The sequence below is a fragment of the Homo sapiens genome, chromosome 17 (assembly GCF_000001405.40).
Source record: "Homo sapiens chromosome 17, GRCh38.p14 Primary Assembly".
NCBI classification, from domain to species: Eukaryota; Metazoa; Chordata; class Mammalia; order Primates; family Hominidae; genus Homo; species Homo sapiens.
Window position 1 is genome coordinate 36,846,619 of NC_000017.11, and position 17,634 is coordinate 36,864,252.

General features: G+C 51.7%; 1 long non-coding RNA gene across 1 annotated transcript in view, besides 3 other annotated features; it reads right to left on the bottom strand.

Moving 5' to 3' along the window:
* Positions 3,179–4,378: an enhancer, noted in NCBI's record as "P300/CBP strongly-dependent group 1 enhancer chr17:35207061-35208260 (GRCh37/hg19 assembly coordinates)". NCBI's record gives its function as "activates an origin of replication core promoter dependent on BRD2, BRD4, P300/CBP, MED14 and CDK7 cofactors, with strong dependence on P300/CBP, by STARR-seq in HCT116 cells {active_cell/tissue: HCT116}" and the evidence as "EXISTENCE:reporter gene assay evidence [ECO:0000049][PMID:35650434]".
* Positions 11,958–12,489: an enhancer, noted in NCBI's record as "H3K4me1 hESC enhancer chr17:35215835-35216366 (GRCh37/hg19 assembly coordinates)". NCBI's record gives its function as "activates a minimal SCP1, AML or CMV promoter by ChIP-STARR-seq in naive H9 embryonic stem cells {active_cell/tissue: H9 hESC(naive)}" and the evidence as "EXISTENCE:reporter gene assay evidence [ECO:0000049][PMID:30033119]".
* LHX1-DT (LHX1 divergent transcript) overlaps positions 15,056–17,634 on the bottom strand; it is a 74,988-nt gene continuing 72,409 nt past the window's right edge. Inside the window, exons 2-3 of the long non-coding RNA NR_135671.1 lie at positions 16,399–16,501; positions 15,056–15,344 (exon numbers count right to left, since the gene is read on the bottom strand). This is a non-coding gene — a long non-coding RNA (LHX1 divergent transcript). The remainder of the gene's footprint in view (positions 15,345–16,398; positions 16,502–17,634) is intronic.
* Positions 15,347–16,319: an enhancer, noted in NCBI's record as "H3K4me1 hESC enhancer chr17:35219226-35220198 (GRCh37/hg19 assembly coordinates)". NCBI's record gives its function as "activates a minimal SCP1, AML or CMV promoter by ChIP-STARR-seq in primed H9 embryonic stem cells {active_cell/tissue: H9 hESC(primed)}" and the evidence as "EXISTENCE:reporter gene assay evidence [ECO:0000049][PMID:30033119]".

A 17,634-nucleotide genomic window follows, 5' to 3' on the forward strand; every position in this document is an offset into this window, starting at 1 on the left:
CTGGGGGGCAGGCATGGGGTCACAGGTTTCCTTGGAGCCACCAGGAGCTTCCTTCTTTCTTTCTAGTCCAGGAGGGGCAGTGAACTAGGGAGGAGGGGAGTCCATTGGTGGCCTGGGTGTCAGTCCTGAGCTGCAGCTCCAAGAAGCCCCAACCCGGGGCCAGCAACTCTAAGCCATTTCTGAGGTGCCTCATCAGCACCCCACCCTCCAGAGCTTGGGGGTGACCCTCTGGGGCACCAGGCTCCCCCCACGCCAGGCCCGGCTATTCCTAGTGTCTGGAATGGGAGGGGTCTGTGCTCCGTGAGAAACAGGGAGCGAGCCAGGCCATGTGTACAGAGAGGCATCAATTTCACAGGGCTTGCTCCTGAGTGGGTTTCACATAAAAGGATTAAAGCGAGAGGAAGTGCAGAGGAAATGGGATGTTGGACACCTTGTTAAACGGGCTGTCAGGGCTCCCAGAGCGTGGGTGCTAACTCTATTCCCTGTCTCCACAGAGAGCAGGCCAGGCCATTACCTGAGCGATCAAAGATAGGGCGTGTGAGTCCGGAGAGTTCTGACAGCGCCTGGAGGACCAAGAGCAGGGCCAGGCAGGAAGATGAGGCCTGGACTAGCCCCACTGCCACCTCTCAGGCCTCATTCCTGAGGGGTTAGGGGAAATGGAGGCTCAAGGCTTCCGCTTACCTGTGCCTGGGGAGCTCCTTGCCCTGGGATTAAATCACAGCACGATTTGGGTGTGGGGAGGGAGGTGGGAGGGCATTTGACCTAATGATGTGTAGATTACCATTTCCTTCCTTATCTTAACACCAAGGGACATTCTTTTTCCTGAGCCCCGGAATTGGCTCAGTTTGTGAATGAATCTGATGGGATCAGCACTTTTCCTGGAGAGATAAGGGGGTTATCAGGGTGGAGGGAGGTCTTCCTCTGGGAGGAGCAGCGGAGAGAAGGACCTGGGGGTGGGGGGCATGCCGTGGGGAGGGCCCAAGTGACCTACCAACCGGGTAGCTCAGCCATCTATACCGGGACCCCTGGCCGTTCCCGCTGGCTGTCCCTCCTCTGTCTGGACTGCTTCCTGCCCACTTCACCCAGCCAATTCTTGCTCATTCTTTATATTTATTTATTTAGTTTTGAGTCTCGCTCTGTCACCCAGGCTGGAGTGCAGTGGTGCGATCTCACTGCAACCTCTACCTCCAGCAGGTTCAAGCGATTCTCCTGCCTCAACCTCCCAAGTAGCTGGGATTACAGGTGTGCGTCACCATGCCCAGCTAATTTTTGTATTTTTAGTAGAGACAGGGTCTTGCCATGTTGGCCAGACTGGTCTCGGACTCCTGACCTCAGGTGATCCGCCCGCCTCGGCCTCCCAAAGTGCTGTGATTACAGGCGTGAGCCACTGAGCCTGGCCAATTCCTGCTAATTCTTTAGACACTTAGCCCTGGCTGAATGTTGGGATCCCCTGGGAAACTCTACACACTTTCCCAAGCTAGGATCCACCGCAGAAGATGCAGCCAGAATCTCTGGGGGCTCTGGGCAGAGTCTTCAAAGCCCTCTTACAAGTGCCCCAGGAGGCTTTCCCTAATGCCTCAGGCTGTTAGAGACCCACCCCCTCTGTTGCCTCAGCTCCTGAGGTAGATCTCCACAGGTCACACCTATCACAGGACAGGGTAGTTTTCTGCTTACCTTTCTGTCTAGACCTCTCACCCCAGACTGTGAACGCCCTGAACTTAGGGCCAGGGGCACTCACCATTGCCCCCTGGGCTTAACCCTGCACTCGGTGGGCTGCGGGAGGTTGGGAATGAGAGCAGGTCTTAAGTCATCTTCCCATCTCCTCTACCTGCAGCAGAGGCTGCGTAGAGCTGGTCCTGGTGTGCACATTGAATGTGTGATGATCGCATTTCATTTCACCCTCTGAGATGTGAGGATGGGAGGAGAGTTAGCAGAGGTCCCTCATCCTGCCTAGTGGGGGTGCAGATGGGGTTTCAGGACAACTCCTCCCCTGTTCCCGCCCCAGTGCTTTTGATTTTTTTATTTTTAATTTTTCTTTTTAGAGACAGGATCTCACTGTGTCACCCAGACTGCAGTGAGGTGATGCAATCATAGCTCACTGCAGCCTCGGAACTCCAGGCTCAGCCTCCGAAAGATCTGGAAATACAGGACTGAGCCACCGCACTCAGCCACCCACTGACTTTTTTTTTTTTTTTTTTTTTGAGATGGAGTCTCACTCTGTCACCCAAGCTGGAGTGCAATGGTGCAATCTTGGCTCACTGCAACCTCCACCTCCCAGGTTCAAGTGATTCTCTTCCCGTGCCTGAGGCTCCCAAGTAGCTGGGATTACAGGTGAGCATCACCATGCCCAGCTAATTTTTGTATTTTTAGTAGAGACGGGGTTTCACCATGTTGGCCAGCCAGGTCTCGAACTCCTGACCTCAAGTGATCCTCCTGTCTTGGCCTCCCAAAATGCTGAGATTATAGACATGAGCCACTGTGCCCGGCCCACCCACTGATTTTTAAATGCTTTCAACATGGGGAGGTGAGAGTTTAGATCAGAGATCAGCAAACTTTTTCTGCAAAGAGCCAGGGTAGGCCGGGCACAGTGGCTCACGCCTGTAATCCCAACACTTTGGGAGGCAAGGCGGCTGAATCACCTGAGGTCAGGAGTTCAAGACCAGCCTGGCAAATATGGCGAAACCCCGTCTCTGCTGAAAATACCAAAACTAGCCAGGTGTGGTGGTATGCACCTGTAATCCCAGCTACTCGGGGGACTGAGATAGGAGAATCGCTTGAACCTGGCAGGTGGAGGTTGCAGTGAGTCAAGATTGTGCCACTGCACTCCAGCCTGGGCGACAGAGTGAGACTCCATTAAAAAAAAAAAACAACAAAAAAAACAGAGAGCCAGGGTAGTAAATATTTTAGGATTGATGGGCCATAAACTCTTTGTCTCAACTACTCAACTCTGCTGTGGTTGTTCAAAAACAGCCAAAGACGTAACATAAATGAGTAGGCGTGGCTGTGCTCCATAAATGCTTTATTTATGGATGCTGAAATCTGAATTTCATATAAGTGTCACATGTCACAACATTTCTCCTGTTGATTTTTTTCAACCTTTAAAAAAGTCATCCTTCATTCGTGGCCATATACAAACAGGGGCAGGCCACCTGGAGTAGGCCAATGGGCCATCATTTGCAGATTCCTGGATTAGGTGAAGTTCCCAATTCCAAGCTTGCAGCCCAGATCTGCTCTCCCCCGTCCCCTCCACCCCACTCACTCCTGAGGTTACCAGGGACCTGGGCCACACCAGCTGCCCCTCGATAAGATAAAGGTATGTGTGTGAAGGGACAGGAACAAGTGAGCGGAAATCCTGATCCCTCCAGGGATGGGGGCGGGAGCGTGAAGGCTGTGAATTTGAGAGACGTGCTGATGAGTAATGTGGTTTCACTTCAGGTCATTTCCTGAAAGTCAGATCCACTTTGCACGTGAGGACAAGAGTGGGAGCTTCCGAATTCACTCTCGGGGCCTCCAAATTAAAAGCCAAATAGGATGTAGCTTTTGCCTGGGCTGCATCTTCATCTGTCAAGAGCAGTTATCTTCAGTGTGCCACTGGGGCCTGCTACTGTCTGTCATTCACCCCCACCCAGTGCCTGTGGGGGCATGCACACCCCAGCAGGGGGAGGTATCCAGTAACGGGTCCAGATACCACTGGTTATTCCAACAAGGAGGGAGGTGAGATTAGGGGCCCCTGAGGGAGGACTTACCCAGCCAGGTCTTTAGAGGAACCTGCCACCTCTGGCCCAAACTTCTAGCCAGTCTTGCCACTTAGGGCCTAGGCTAGACTCTTGGAGGTTCTCTCTGGAAAAGGGTTGGGAATGCTCTACAAAGGCCCAGTTATCTAGAGAGGAAGGAAAATAGCAGAGTCTGATGCTCAGAAACTGCCAGCTTCCGGCCTTGCACCGTGGCTCACATCTGTAATCCCAGCACTCTGGGAGGCCCAGGCGGGAGGATTGCTTGAAGCCAGGAGTTTGAGACCAGCCTGGGCAATATAATGAGACCCCGTCTCTATAAGAAACATAAAAAATTAGCCAACGTGGTGGTGCATGCCTGTAGTCCCTGCTACTCAGGAGGCTAAAGCAGGAGGATCACTTGAGCCCAGGAGGTCAAGGCTGCAGTAAGCTAAGATTGCACCACTGCACTCCATTCCAGGCTAGAGTGAGACTCCATCTCTAAAGAAAAAACAAAAAAAAAACATGCAACAAAACTGCCAGCCCCAGCCCCTGCGGGGAGAGATGGGAAAGAAGGCAGGAAGACGGATGGTGACTCAGAGAAGACCCAGAAAGGAAGGGCCTCTGAGTCACATACTCAGATTCCTAATCTCAGCCCAGACCTTGACTTGCTGTGTGACCTTGGGCCAATTGCTTTGTCTCTCTGAGTTTAAATGTCCTCAACATGGAGAGTCTTACCAGCTTTGGCCCATCTCAAGCCTGTACAGTTTAAGGCCCACAGGAAGCCCAAGAGAGCATCTCGTAGGCCCCGAATGTCATTCCTGTGCAAGACTGAAAGTCAGTGTGTCCCGGAAGACAGCCTGGACGCAGTGTGTTCTGCAGTAGGACCACTGAACTCATGACACCCTGTTCTTTCCTTGCTCTCCCCCGCAGCAGCAGTCTGGGGGCCTAGAAGCTGAGCTGACCTGTTTCTTTGTCCTCCTTGCCCCCAAAAACTCCATAGGAAAAGACACTCTTTGTAATCAGAAGACTTAGGTTAAGACTCAGCTCATCACCAGTCACGTGATCGCTGGCAAATGACCTCTCTGAACTTCGGGATTCTCATCTATAAAATGAGTCTAACAACATCTCATTGGGCTGTGGTGACAAGTTGTCTTAGGAATGTGAAATTGCTTTGTAAACATAACGGGCCACACCTGATATATATTTACATTTTTCCCGCTACTCACAGCCAGTCACAGTCGTCTCACTATGTTCTAATGCCATCCTAGCCATGGTGCAGAGATAGAACCAGAGTGGACAAGGACTCTGTTGACACCCTGCCCCATCCCCACCCCCTGATTTGTCAATGGTGGAAGCTGCAATGCTGGACTCCTAGACTTGATTTATTGGAGAATGGGGCTTTCATTCCCATTTGCTTCAACCAGCCCCGGCTGGGTCCCCACACCCTGGGTGGCTGAGCCAGGCTGGGATGTGACCTCCTAGCCATGCTCTCTGGGCCCTATGGCCCTGGTCTATCACCTCTGCTCCCACCCAAATAATCCAAGGCCTTGAACCTGGCCTCCCTGCCTTGCTGTCTGAGAATCAATGGTCCCACACCTCCCAAGATGACTGAGAAGGAGAACGCTTCTACCCCACCTTCTCCCATGTATGGGTGCCATGCCTTCTCTGTAAAAACAATCCAATATTGTTTGAAAACTTATAAGAGCAGAATATGCTCCTTAGAAGACACTTAAATACAGGAATATATAGGAAAAAGAAAAGGAAGAAAGAAATGTGGTCTAATATCCAGAATTTACGAGGAACTTAAACAAATTTACAAGAAAAAAATCCCATCAAAAAGTGGGCAAAGGATATGAACAGACACTTCTCAAAAAAAGACATTTACGCAGCCAACAAACATATGAAAAAAAGCTCAACATCACTGATCATTAGAGAAATGCAAATCAAAACCATAATGAGATACCATCTCTCACCAGTTAGAATGGCAATCATTAAAAAGTCAAGAAACAATAGATGCTGGTGAGGCTGTGGAGAAATAGGAATGCTTTTACACTGTTGGTGGGATTGTAAATTAGTTCAACCATTGTGGAAGACAGTTTGTGGATTCCTCAAGGATCTAGAACCAGAAATACCATTTGACTCAACAATTCCATTCCTGGGTACATACTCAAAGGAATATAAATCCTTCTATTATAAAGACACATGCACACCTGTGTTTACTGCAGCACTATTTACAATAGCAAAGGCATGGAACCAACCCAAATCCCTATCAATGACAGACTGGATAAAGAAAATATGGTACCTATACACCATGGAATACTATGCAGCCATAAAAAGGAATGAGATTATCATGTCCTTTGCAGGGACATGGATGAAGCTGGAATCCATCATCCTCAGCAAACTAACACAGGAACAGAAAACCAAACACCACGTGTTCTCACTCATAAGTGGGAGTTGAACAATCAGAACACATGGACACAGGGAGGGGAACATCACACATCAGGGTATGTTAGGGGGTGGGGGATGAGGGGAGAGAACTTAGAGGATGGGTCAATAGGTGCAGCAAACCACCATGGCACATGTATACCTACATAACAAACCTGCATGTCCTGTACATGTATCCCAGAACTTGAAGTAAAATAAAAATAAAATGAAAGAGAGAGAGAGAGACAAAAGAGAAGGAAGAAAGAAAGAAAGAAAGAAAGAAAGAAGAAAGAAAGAAAAAGAAAGAAAGGAAGAAAGGGAAAGAAAGAAAGAAAGAGAAAGAAAGAAAGAAAGAAAGAAAGAAAGAAAGAAAGAAAGAAAGAAAGAAAGAAAGAAAGAAAGAAAGAAAAAAGGAAGGAAGGAAGGAAGGAAGAAAGAGAGAGACTTGCTCTTGGTGTTCCTTTCCTCTGTGTCTGTGCCCTTCTTTAGGAAACCCTGTGGACTTGCCCCTACTGGAGCCCATGTGACTCAGCCCCTCCAGGCTCGTAGGCAGTCAGGGCAGTGACAGTGATAGGACCTCCTTGTCTGTGGCCCTCGTAGCAACAAGCCCTGTATACAGTGGGTGCTCAATAAATGTTGCTTGGTTGACCAGGTGAGGGTGTATTTCCTGGGATGTTAGTACAGTTTTGCTGAGAGCAAGAGGAGGTAGTTGGTTGCCCGGTTCTTGTGAGGCCAGGAAGATTTACATAACATTAGGGGTTCAGAAATTAAGATTTGGGGCAGAATGGCTAGATATCAGCAAAATAATGATCCTTTTAATGACAAGATGAAGATGGGAACTCTAAGGCTCTGCTTCTCTGCTATGGGGTGGAAAGCAATGTCTCCTTTGAATGGAATTTTTTTCATTCATTCATGCAGTCAGCTAATACTCACTGAATTCCTTCTGTGTGTCAGCCTCTGGGCTCAGACATGAGCAAGGAAGGCACCCAAAGAAAAAGTAAGAACATTTTGTCTGTCGATGGATGAATGGATAAAGAAATGTGAGATATAGATACAGATATAGATAATATTAATTGGCCTTTGAAAAGAAGAAAATCCTCCCTTTGCAGCAACATGAGTAAACCTGGAGGAGGTTATGCCAGACACAGAAAGACAAATACTGCACGACCTCTCTTACATGTGAAATCTGCAATAGTCAAACTCATGGAAACGGAGGTAGGTGGAATTGTGGTTACCAGAGACTAGAGGAAGGGGGAAATGGGAGATGTCGGTCTTGGGGTATAAGGTTTCAGTTACATCAGATGAATAAGTTCTGAAGATCTAAGGTACAGCAATGTGACTCCAGTGAAAAATATTGTATTGTATACTTGAAATTTGCTAAGAGGATAGGTCTTATGTGTTCTTACCACCAAAATAAAAGAAAGAGAAGAAAATGGTACCTGTGAGGTGATGGATGTGTTAGCTTGATTATGGTGAATATTTCACAATGTATACATCTATCAAATCATCAAATTAGACACCTCAAATATATGCTTTTTTTTTTTTTTTTTTTTTGAGACAGTCTCACTCTGTTGTCCAGGCTGGAGTGCAGTGGTGCGATCTTGGCTTACCGCAACCTCCGCCTCCCGGGTTCAGGCAAATCTCCTGCCTCAACCTCCCAAGTAGCTGGGACTATAGGTACGCGCCACCGCACCTGGCTAATTTTTGTATTTTTAGTAGAAACGGGTTTCACCATGATGGCCAGGCTGGTCTCAAACTCCTGACCTCAAGTGATCTGCCTTCCTCAGCCTCCCAAAGTGCTGGGATTACAGGTGTAAGCCATTGTGCCCAGCCAAATATATGCAATTTTTAATTGCCAACGCATCTCACTAAAACTGGGGGAAAAGAAGGATGTTTTCCTGGAGGAAAAGGACTGGAGTTGGGGGAGGCGGGGAGGGGAAGGGAGGGAGGTGAGAAGAGGAGGAGGGAGCTGAGTGGCTGCCTGTTTCCAGGAGGTTGGGAGAACAATGTGGCCTGAGTCCTAGATGCCCTGGCAGTCCACAGTGAGTGTAGGGGGTGTCCTGCCTCCCATGCCCTTTGCTGGTCTCCTACATATGGAAACCTCCCTAGCAATGGGAGGAGGGCTGGCCAGGGGATCCCTCAGCATCCTACTCCAGGTAAAGGAAGCTGTTTCTCTCTCTGTGCCTGCACAGCACCTGTAAATGCCATCATCTTAGATCAAACTTAGATCAGACTAGTCCCCCCATACCCCTAAGCAATTGGTGGGGACTGGTTTGATTTAAGTTACCCATGGCGGGCCTGGAGGTGGGTAGGGAGAGGAGGGAATATAGTTTAAGTTAAAACAAAACAAAACCAAAAAACGTTTGTGGCTGAGAGCTCTCAACTGGAACAGCCTGACTGGCTGGGCCCAAAGCCAGAAGATAGGTCCCAGGATCAGGTGACCCCGCCATGCCCTTGGGAAGGCCCTGGGGGGTTGAGGGGTTAATGCCACTTCCTCCCCAGGCCACCCTCCAGAGTCCTGCCTTTTCCTATCTTCCTCCAGCCTCATCTCCCATCAGGATCCTTAGTTTGAGGTCTGAAGGGAGGGAGGGCCTAGGCCCAAGGACTTCCAGAATGGAGAGGAGGTGAAGGTTCACTCTACAGCTAAGCCTCAATGCCTACTGCCCCTAACCTCCGCCAGGCAGCCCATCCTGGTCCAATGCCAGGGCGAGGCACCAAGGATGCAAAGAAGGTTCTGCTCTGAGGGAGCTCAGCAGGGCACAAGAACTCCTCAAGGGGGTGCAATTAGTGCCATAGGGGTGACATCTCCAGGTGCTATGCAGGCACAGAGATGCAAACAGCTCTCTTTACCTGGAACCAGAGAGAAGAGGGGGTATTGAGAGGGGTCTTGATGGTTGAGTAGGAGTTTGCCAGACAGAGAAGTGGTTGGAGGGCGTTTTCAGCAGAAGCAAAGCATGAGCACAGCACACAGGGGTGAGGAAGGCTGGGTGTAAGAAACAGTGGGCTGCTGTGCGGGAGCGGAGTCAGAATGCCTGGTTTGCATCCAGCATTCCAGTTCCTCCCTTTCTTTCTCTCTTTCTCCCTTTCTCTCCCTCTTTCTTTCTTTTTCTTTTTTTAAATATTTATTTATTTATTTATTTATTTTATTTTTGAGATGAAGTCTCACTCTGTCACCCAGGCTGGAGTGCAGTGGTACAATCTCCACTCACTCCAACATCCACCTCCCAAATTCAAGCGATTCTCCTGCTTCAGCCTCCCGAGTAGCTGGGACTACAGGCATGTACCACCATGCCTGGCTAATTTTTGTATTTTTAGTAGAGACAGGGTTTCACCATGTTGGCCAGGATGGTCTCGATCTCCTGACTTCATGATCCACCCACCTCAGCCTCCCAAAGTGCTGGGATTACAGGCATGAGCCACTGTGCCCAGCCTGTGTAGCTATCTTTAGATATGCAAATACTTACTATTGTATTACAACTGCCTACAGTATTCAGTACAGTAATGTGCTGTACTGATTTGTAGCCTAGGAGCATAGGCTATGCCATACGGCCAAGGTGTGTCATAGGCTCTACCAGGTAGGTTTGTGTAAACACACTCTCTGATGCTCACAGAGTGATGAAATCGCCTAACAATGCATTTCTCAGAACATATCCCCATCGTTAATCAACACACGACTGTACATGATAAAGCACGTAGAGCAGTGCCTGGCACATAGTGAGCATTTGATCAATGTTAGCTGCTATCATTATTATTATTATCAGAGAGGTGGAGGGGAGTGGCCACAGAACAAGCTAGAAAGGGAGGAGGAAGCCTGCGTAGGAAGGGCCTTGAACACCGGGCTCAGAAGCTTGGGGTTGATACTGAAAGCAGCAGGGAAACGTTTTTTAAATAGAAGAATGATATAGTTTACAGACAGTTTACTCCAGGACCTGGCAAACAGCAGGCATTTAATAAATACCTCTTGAGTGAATGAATGAATCAAGATTGGAGGAGGAGAGACCAATTAGGCGGCCACTTCAGCGACCCAGGTATCCCATCATGAGGGCTGAACCCAGGGCAGCTGCCATGGAGTTTTGGGGGGACCCTCAGCCAGGCACTGGGCTTCCCTGCCCACACCCACCTGCCCACCCCCCGCCTAACCAGGACAGGCAGCTTCATGGTCCCCGCTGCTCGTGTGCAGCGCACAACACCGCCTCATAACTCACTGTGCTTATGATGAAGCGGAGCGGTTGTTTGGGAAGACAGCCACTCTGATACCCAACAGCCCCCAGGGCCGTTCCTGATGTTTCTCTTCCACCATCCACTGCTTAACATGCCAAGTCTCCCTCCCACACCCTGCTCCCCATGCCCCTCCAATGGCACCGATCTCTTCCCCCATTCACACACACCCCTCCGCCTGCCTCTCCAGTGCCGCAGCCTGGAGGAAATTTATTGCAGCTCCAGACTGCTATGGGCAAATACTAATAAAATGCTGTTTTGCTGCAATTTGTTTAATTGGCCACAGCAGAGACGTTGTGAGCATGTGCAGCCTCTGCCCGCGCCTGCCTGCCTGCCCGCCTGCCCAGCTCACAGATGCTCTCTCCTCCCTCCGCCTTGTCTCCCTGGCTGTGGCTACCGAGAATGGGATAATGCAGAGAGGAGAGACAAGAGCGGAGGCCGAATGAGCCCATCTCCATCTATTCTTACAGCATTTTACTGAGTGAACCTTTCACCCATGAACCTTGGGATCCTGTGAACAGCCAGACTGCCTGGGTTCAAATCCCACTACTTATTTCCTCCTCTTACTGGTGTCACCTTAGGCAAGTCATGCAACCTCTCTGTGCCCCAGTTTCCTCACCTGTAAAATGGAAACAATAGCAACACTGTTGTGAGGATTAAATGAGCTACTTCATGTAAAACACTCAGAACAGTGCTTGGTCCATGGGAGGCGCAAAATCAATGTGAAGGACTTGGACTGCTTGGGTTCTAATCCCAGCTCGGCCACTTAGCAGCTGTGTGCCTTGGGCATGTTACTTAAGCACTTCGTAGCTCCGTTTTCCCATCTGTGAAATGGGGGTAGTGATTACATCTATCTCACAGAGTTGCGTGAAGATTAAAGGTGTCAATCAACAGAAAGGGACTGAGAACAGAGCCTGCCACGAAATAAGAGCTGCAAAAGCATGAACCGTTGTTGCGAAACAGACAGTGGCAGCGGCGGGAGCTAAGTGCTCTGGGTGGGGGTGCTCGGGAAGACTTTGCACCCCGCGTTCCTTCTCTGGAGTGAGTTATGGGGGAGGGGTGAGTCCCCAGAGATGGGAATTCCCAATGGTAAACAGTTCGAGCTGGTTCCTTGTGTCTTGAGGCCAGCGAAAGACCCTCGCAGTGTGTCTCTCGTGGGTTAGGAGGTGCAGTGACCCTGCTACAGCTCCCCAGACAGAGCCTGGGGCTGTGCTGCTGCTTGTGGGGTCAGCTCAACCTCCCAGCTGCTCCCCTCTTGGCCCCTGGCACCCACTCCCCGGGGGTGGGCATCTTGCCACCCGCCAGATGGCACTAGCAGAGGCTGGGGCGTGGGGGTGGGTGGGGAGCGTTAGGCCAGGCTGCAGGAGCTGGGCACAGGGGTCTTGGGACAGATGGGCTTGTGTCTGTCCCGAGAATAGCATGCCTGGGGCAGGGCGGAGGCATCCCCATGAGGCTTTTGGGAGCTGGCTGAGGCCTATAAGATACAGTGCACACGAGCATTCATACATTTACACACACTCACGCACAAAAATGTGCGGCATGTTTCCGGCAACCTTGACTCAGCTGGCTCAGGCACCTTTGTCCAAAGGAAACTCACCACTCCTAAAGAAACCTTGCACCCTGACCTCTAGGTCATGAATGCTAGAGCGTGCCACAGGTAACAGGAGGCACTTATACCACTTCCACTCCGAGCTTTGCTTCCCTCATCCGCAAAATGTGGAGACAGCTTCCCTGTCTCCTGGGGAGGAGGTCAGTGGCATAGGCCTGAGAAGAACACCCTGAAGCCAGCTGGCCAAGTTTGGATTCAGGCTTTTCTCCTGGGGATTCAACTGTGTGCCCTTGGGCAAATAACTTCACCTCTCCGTGTCTCACTTTCATTATCCATAAAATGGGAATGAAGACAATAGCACATACCTCAGAGAGGTGTCATGAGAGTTAGAAAGGAGCTAATGCCATGAGTGCAGGAAACGGGCGTGGAAACGGGGCCTGGCACCGCAGGCGTGCCCTCTCCCTGGGCCACTTCATGACTGCTGCCCAGCGGCAGTTCCTGTTGCTGTGCTGGACTCTCTGACGGCCAAGTGTGGGGACTTGTCTCTTCCCTGGCACATGGTAGCATTCCGCAAATGCTTCTTGGCTTGTTGGCAGGATGGGTGTCCTGTGCGGGGGTCCCGGCCTGCTAGGGTGGGTAGGTTGCTGGGAAGCTCCCCCAGCCGACCCTCGGAGGCCCGCCCTGCCGCTTCATCTAGAATGGTACCGTCTGCAGCCACAGGCAATCCCATGCTATCCCTGCAGCCCTGGGCCAGGTGCTCTGAGCCTCCCTCCTCTGTACTCTACCCACAAATCGAAGCCCGCCCTGCCTCTCACTGCTCCCCTTCCCAATTCAGGCATAATCTCCCCCAAGCAGGGCTTTAATCCCGCCTCCCCCACCTGCAGCCTCTCCCACAATGCCCTGAGCTGCTCAGTGAAGTGCATATATCCTCGCTGTACTTTCTAGGCTCTTCCCTGCAAGGTGAGGGCCTTCCCAAAGCAGCCTATCTTCCATTGAACGGAAGAGAAAACCGAGGCCCCAGAAGGGAGAACGCTGCTGCCTCTCACCGTCCTGAGGGGAGCAGCCAGGAGAGCTGGGGCTCAGGGTGTCCAACAAGGAAGGGACCATGTAAGTCGGGGGCTGGCACTGAACACCTACATCCTGCCCCCACCCATGAATGGCCCCACATTCTGTTGACCCTCTTCCAATCTTGGGCATTCAATGGAGCAGGGGGGTCGGGGTCGGGGAGTGGGGTTGGGGGTGGAGGAATGAGGGAGGTGGGATGGTGGGGGGCAGAGCGTGCCCTCCCTGGCTCGGTGAGGCCGATGCAGCCAGCTGTGGCGAGCAGCAGCTGGATACACATACCAGGATGCACGGTCCCACGCCCTCTGCCAGGGCCCAGCAGTCAGGGGAGAGGGAGGCCAGGGAAGGCAGTGAAGTGGCTGGTGAGGCTCCCAGGAGGGGGGTGGGAAGAAGGGGAGGCCTGGGGAATGCTCCGCCGGCCCCAGGGCCCCAAGTTTCCCCCAGAAGGCCTCTGGTACTCCTCACCCTGACTCCACCAGGAGGTGGAGTGACTTCAGAGTTTCCGTAGAGGAAGGCCCAAGCCGGAGCCTTGTTGCCCACTCCATCTCTGGGGAGCGGGCTGCACTGTGGTCACAGGAGGGTGGTAGGAGTGGACAGGGTAGCCACAGGCCCCAGGACTGGGAGGGGAAGATCATCGTTCAGAACCACCCAGGAAACCCAGGGGCAGAGGCGTGGGCTCCATGCGCTCTGTTCCCCAGCACCAGGGACTCTCTGTTTGAGTTCCTTTGAGGGGTTAAAGGAATCAGGAAAGAGAGGCGATGTCAAGCACGTGCTCCTTCCCAAACACTAACTGAGAAGCAGCCTCAGTGAACAGCAGCACAGCCCTTGCCTGCATGAAACCTGGAGTTTAATGGAAGAGACAGAGGACAGGCACTTCCCCATCCGTGTTTTCGGGGCCATAATAGGTTCGTGCAAAAGCTGGCTTGGACAAGTGGGCACCTACCTCAGTAGGGGATAGGGGAGGCTTCCTGGAGGAGGTGATGCCAAGCGAGACCAGGAAGAGGAGGAGGAGCCGGCCAGTGAGGGGAGCCCGGGCAGGGAGGACTGTTCCTCCCGCTGACAGAACAGCACGTGCCATGACCCAGGGCAAGGTGTGGGGGTCATTTTGAAGAACCCAGAGTTCAGAGTGGCCAAGAGCACCAGCAGAAAGGCTGGAGAGGTGGGCTAGGACCAGGTCATAGGAGAGTTATGACCCAGGAGCATTTATTTATTTTATTATTATTTTTTTGAGACAGAGTCTTGCTCTGTCGCCCAGGCTGGAGTGTAGTGGTACAATCTCAGCTCACTGCAACCCCCACTTCCCAGGTTCAAGTGAGTCTTGTGCCTCAGCCTCCGGGGTAGCTGGGATTACATGCATGCACCACCACACCCAGCTAATTTTTTTGTATTTTAAGTAGAGATGGGGTTTCACCATGTTGCCCAGGCTGGTCTCGAGCTTCTGGCCTCAAATGATCCACCCGCCTCAGCCTCCCAAAACTCTGGGATTACAGGCTCACACCACCGTGCCTGGCCGACCCAGGAACATTTAAGTAGTGGAGGAACAAGCTGAAGTTTGCATTTTCAGATCACTCTTATTGCAACTGGAGAGTAGACCAGAGGCAAGGAGGCCAATCAGGAGGCAGGGAGGCCAATCAGGAGGCTGGTGGAGTAGTCCAGGGTGTGCAGCTGGTGGCCTGACCAAAAAGAAGTATTTCAGATGCAGAACTGATGGGAGCTGGAAATGACTGGTTGGTGGAGTGAGAGAGGAGAGGAGAAGGTGGAGTGAGAGAGGAGGAGTGGCTGTGGTGCCAGTCACTAACATGTAGGATGCCAGGGTTGGCCAATGGGGCTGGGCCAGGCCTTGGGTTTAACCTTGGCCCTCTAGAGTGTAAGGAGCCAGCTCCTCCCGTGTCCCTGACCCTATGCCTCCTCCCCAGCTGATGTGCCAAGCACCAGGTCCAAGCGTGTGCATTCGCTCGCCAAACCCCCTCAGTGTGGCAGCAGGGCAGGGAGAACACGGAAACCTCTAGCCACCTGGTTCTTGCCCTCTGAGCTCTTCCAGTCAGTAAAGGAGGTGGGCCGTGTGCACAAACAACAGCCACACGAGGTCTGATCTGTCCAAGTCCGAACTTTATTGCTTTTGACCACAGGCTGTTTGCAAGGGCAGTAAATGATTAAGGGCCACATGAGTGGTAGGGACTGTAATTGCCTCAGAGAGTCTGAGGAATGGGAAAGCCCTTCTGGATGTACAGAAGAGAATTCTGGTCAGGGCTTGGGGGTGGAGAGGGACAGGGCTGCAGGCAGACTGGGAGCTGGGAGACTGGGTTCAAAGTCCAAGCTATGCTCCAACTTGGCTGACTGGCCAAGGACTGTATCTCTCCGGGTCTCTGTTTCCTCATCTGTAAAATGGGGGAAAAGATAAAGCTTAATTAAACTCCCAGTCTCCAAGTCTGGCGTGGGATTGTAGAGTGAATGGACACAAACAGTCTCTGAGAATGTATGTGCCACTCCTTTGAAAGGGACTGGGGTCCACTCTGCTCAGGTCATAGGATTTGTTTTGGAAGGCCAGCGTTTTTAGAGTTAGGCACACCAGAGTTCAAATCCTGGCTCTGCCATTTACTGGCTGGGTGCCTTTAGCCAAGTGACACGACCTGTCCAGGACTCGTTGTCTGTAGAATGGGATGGCTCCCCCCGCACACAGGGTAAATAAGATTACTGACCTCCATTGGCATGGGCATGACACCGAATCTCTCGGGCAAGTTCACACCAGCCCCAAATGCCCCAGGGTAAGGAAGCCTGGGCCTGAGGCCTGCGGGGACCTTGGCCATTCTTCACCACAAATCTTCCCAGCTGCACAAGAGGTCCTCATTGCCCACCTCCCTCCCCATCCTAAAGCTTCCCACTGACTCTGCCGAGTGGGGGAGTGGGGCCAAATCTCCCGCTGCTCCCCCTCTGGCCCAGATAACACACACACCAATGGGGACCCTGGCCTGCGGAAACTGCCCAGATAAACACTGCCTGCCTCAGATAACCGAGGCCCTATCGGCTTGGCATCTTGTTCTCCAAACCACAGGCGCTGGTGATAAAGGGATTGTGTAGGGGGCTGCATCTGCTGGGGCCCAGGTGGGAGCCTTTTGCAGGTTTTTTGGTTTTTGTTTTTCTTCCTCTCACTATTATTTACAACAAATGTTTGGCCCCTTCAGGGACAAGCCAGTCCTCTGGCAGCCAGGGTCTCCCAACTAGCTCCCCCTCCCTCTCTCATCAAAAACCAGACGGCCATTTGTCCCCCCTGATGGATTTCCAAGGGAGGGAGAGGAAGGCATTGGAGATGGGATTAGGGGGTGGCAGACAGGCAAATTCTGTTCAGAGCTTTTGGTGATTATAAAAAGCTTGGGAGGGAGGGTTGCTCCTTCAGGGACATCTGATACTAACCACCATTTATTGAGCACTTACTATGTATGAGGTGCAGCTTATTTGATCCAGTGGGAGTGCTAACCATCCCCTTCATTTCCATTTTACAGGCAAGACAACTGAGGTTCAGAAGGTCACGATACAACTGGTAAGAAAGACTAGAATCAAAGGCCAGGTTTGAAGCAAAGCCTCTGCTCTTGCCCTCTGCACCCTGTTCCCAAGGGCCGCCCCTGCTTCTGGCCCTTTCTGGGGCATGGAAAGGAAACAGGTGGCTGCTCTCCTAGGCACAGAAAAGTCTGAGCCACACCTGGAAGCTGGCTTTGGGCCAGAGCTGGGATGCTGGGCCGGGAACCTGGGCCCGGAGGGGTCTTGCTGGCTCCCTGGCTCTAGGGTTGTCACATCCTGGGTGGCCTTGGAGGTCATCTGGAGCAAAGGTCTCCTGGGACAGACAGGGAAACAGATGAAAATAGACGTGTGACAGGCCTGGGATCAGCCAGCCAGTGGGTGCTGCTTGAAGACCTTGGCTCCGGGCGATCCCAGCTCACTGATTTTACAGATGAGGAAACTGAGGCCCGGAGCAGGAAAACGACTTGCCAAAAGGCTACATAGCTAAAGCCAGTAGAGCTGACACTCGGGAGGCTGAGGCAGAAGGATCCCTTGAGCCCAGAGGTTCGAGGCCAACATGGGAGGCTCTCTTAAAAAAAATTAAAATAAAGTTAAGCTAGGAATCCAACCCAGGCATCCTGACTTGCAGTGCAGGGCTATTTTCACTCTCCCATATTAGACATACACCACCAGATACAGACACAGAAAACCACAGCCACAGAGGCTCAGGCACAAGGGGCCACCCGGGGGGCACAAGACATGTGCACACTTCCAAGTATACGTGCTCACACCTGGCACTCCCACGACACCGTGTGGGACCCGCTGTCCATCCCCCCACCCCGGGACCTGAAGGAGACCCAGCTGGACTTACTCTCCCCTCCCCTGCCCCTCTCCCCCCACCTCTAGAACAGCACCAAGCCAGGGAGCTCCACGCTGTGCTTAAAAAGGGCACTTAATTTTTCATTCTTAAATGCTGGGATGCTCTTGTCTTCCAGCTTCGCCCAAACCCCTTGGTGGAGATGGATGGAGGCGCGGAACACAGTTATCAGAAAGATTAAGCCAGGACTTGTCATTTTTTTATATCACAGAGCAGTCAGCTCGACGAGTGATGTCCTCCAGTCCGCCAGGATGAGTCCAGAACCTTTAGTGCCAGTAGTAAAAAAGACTATAAAA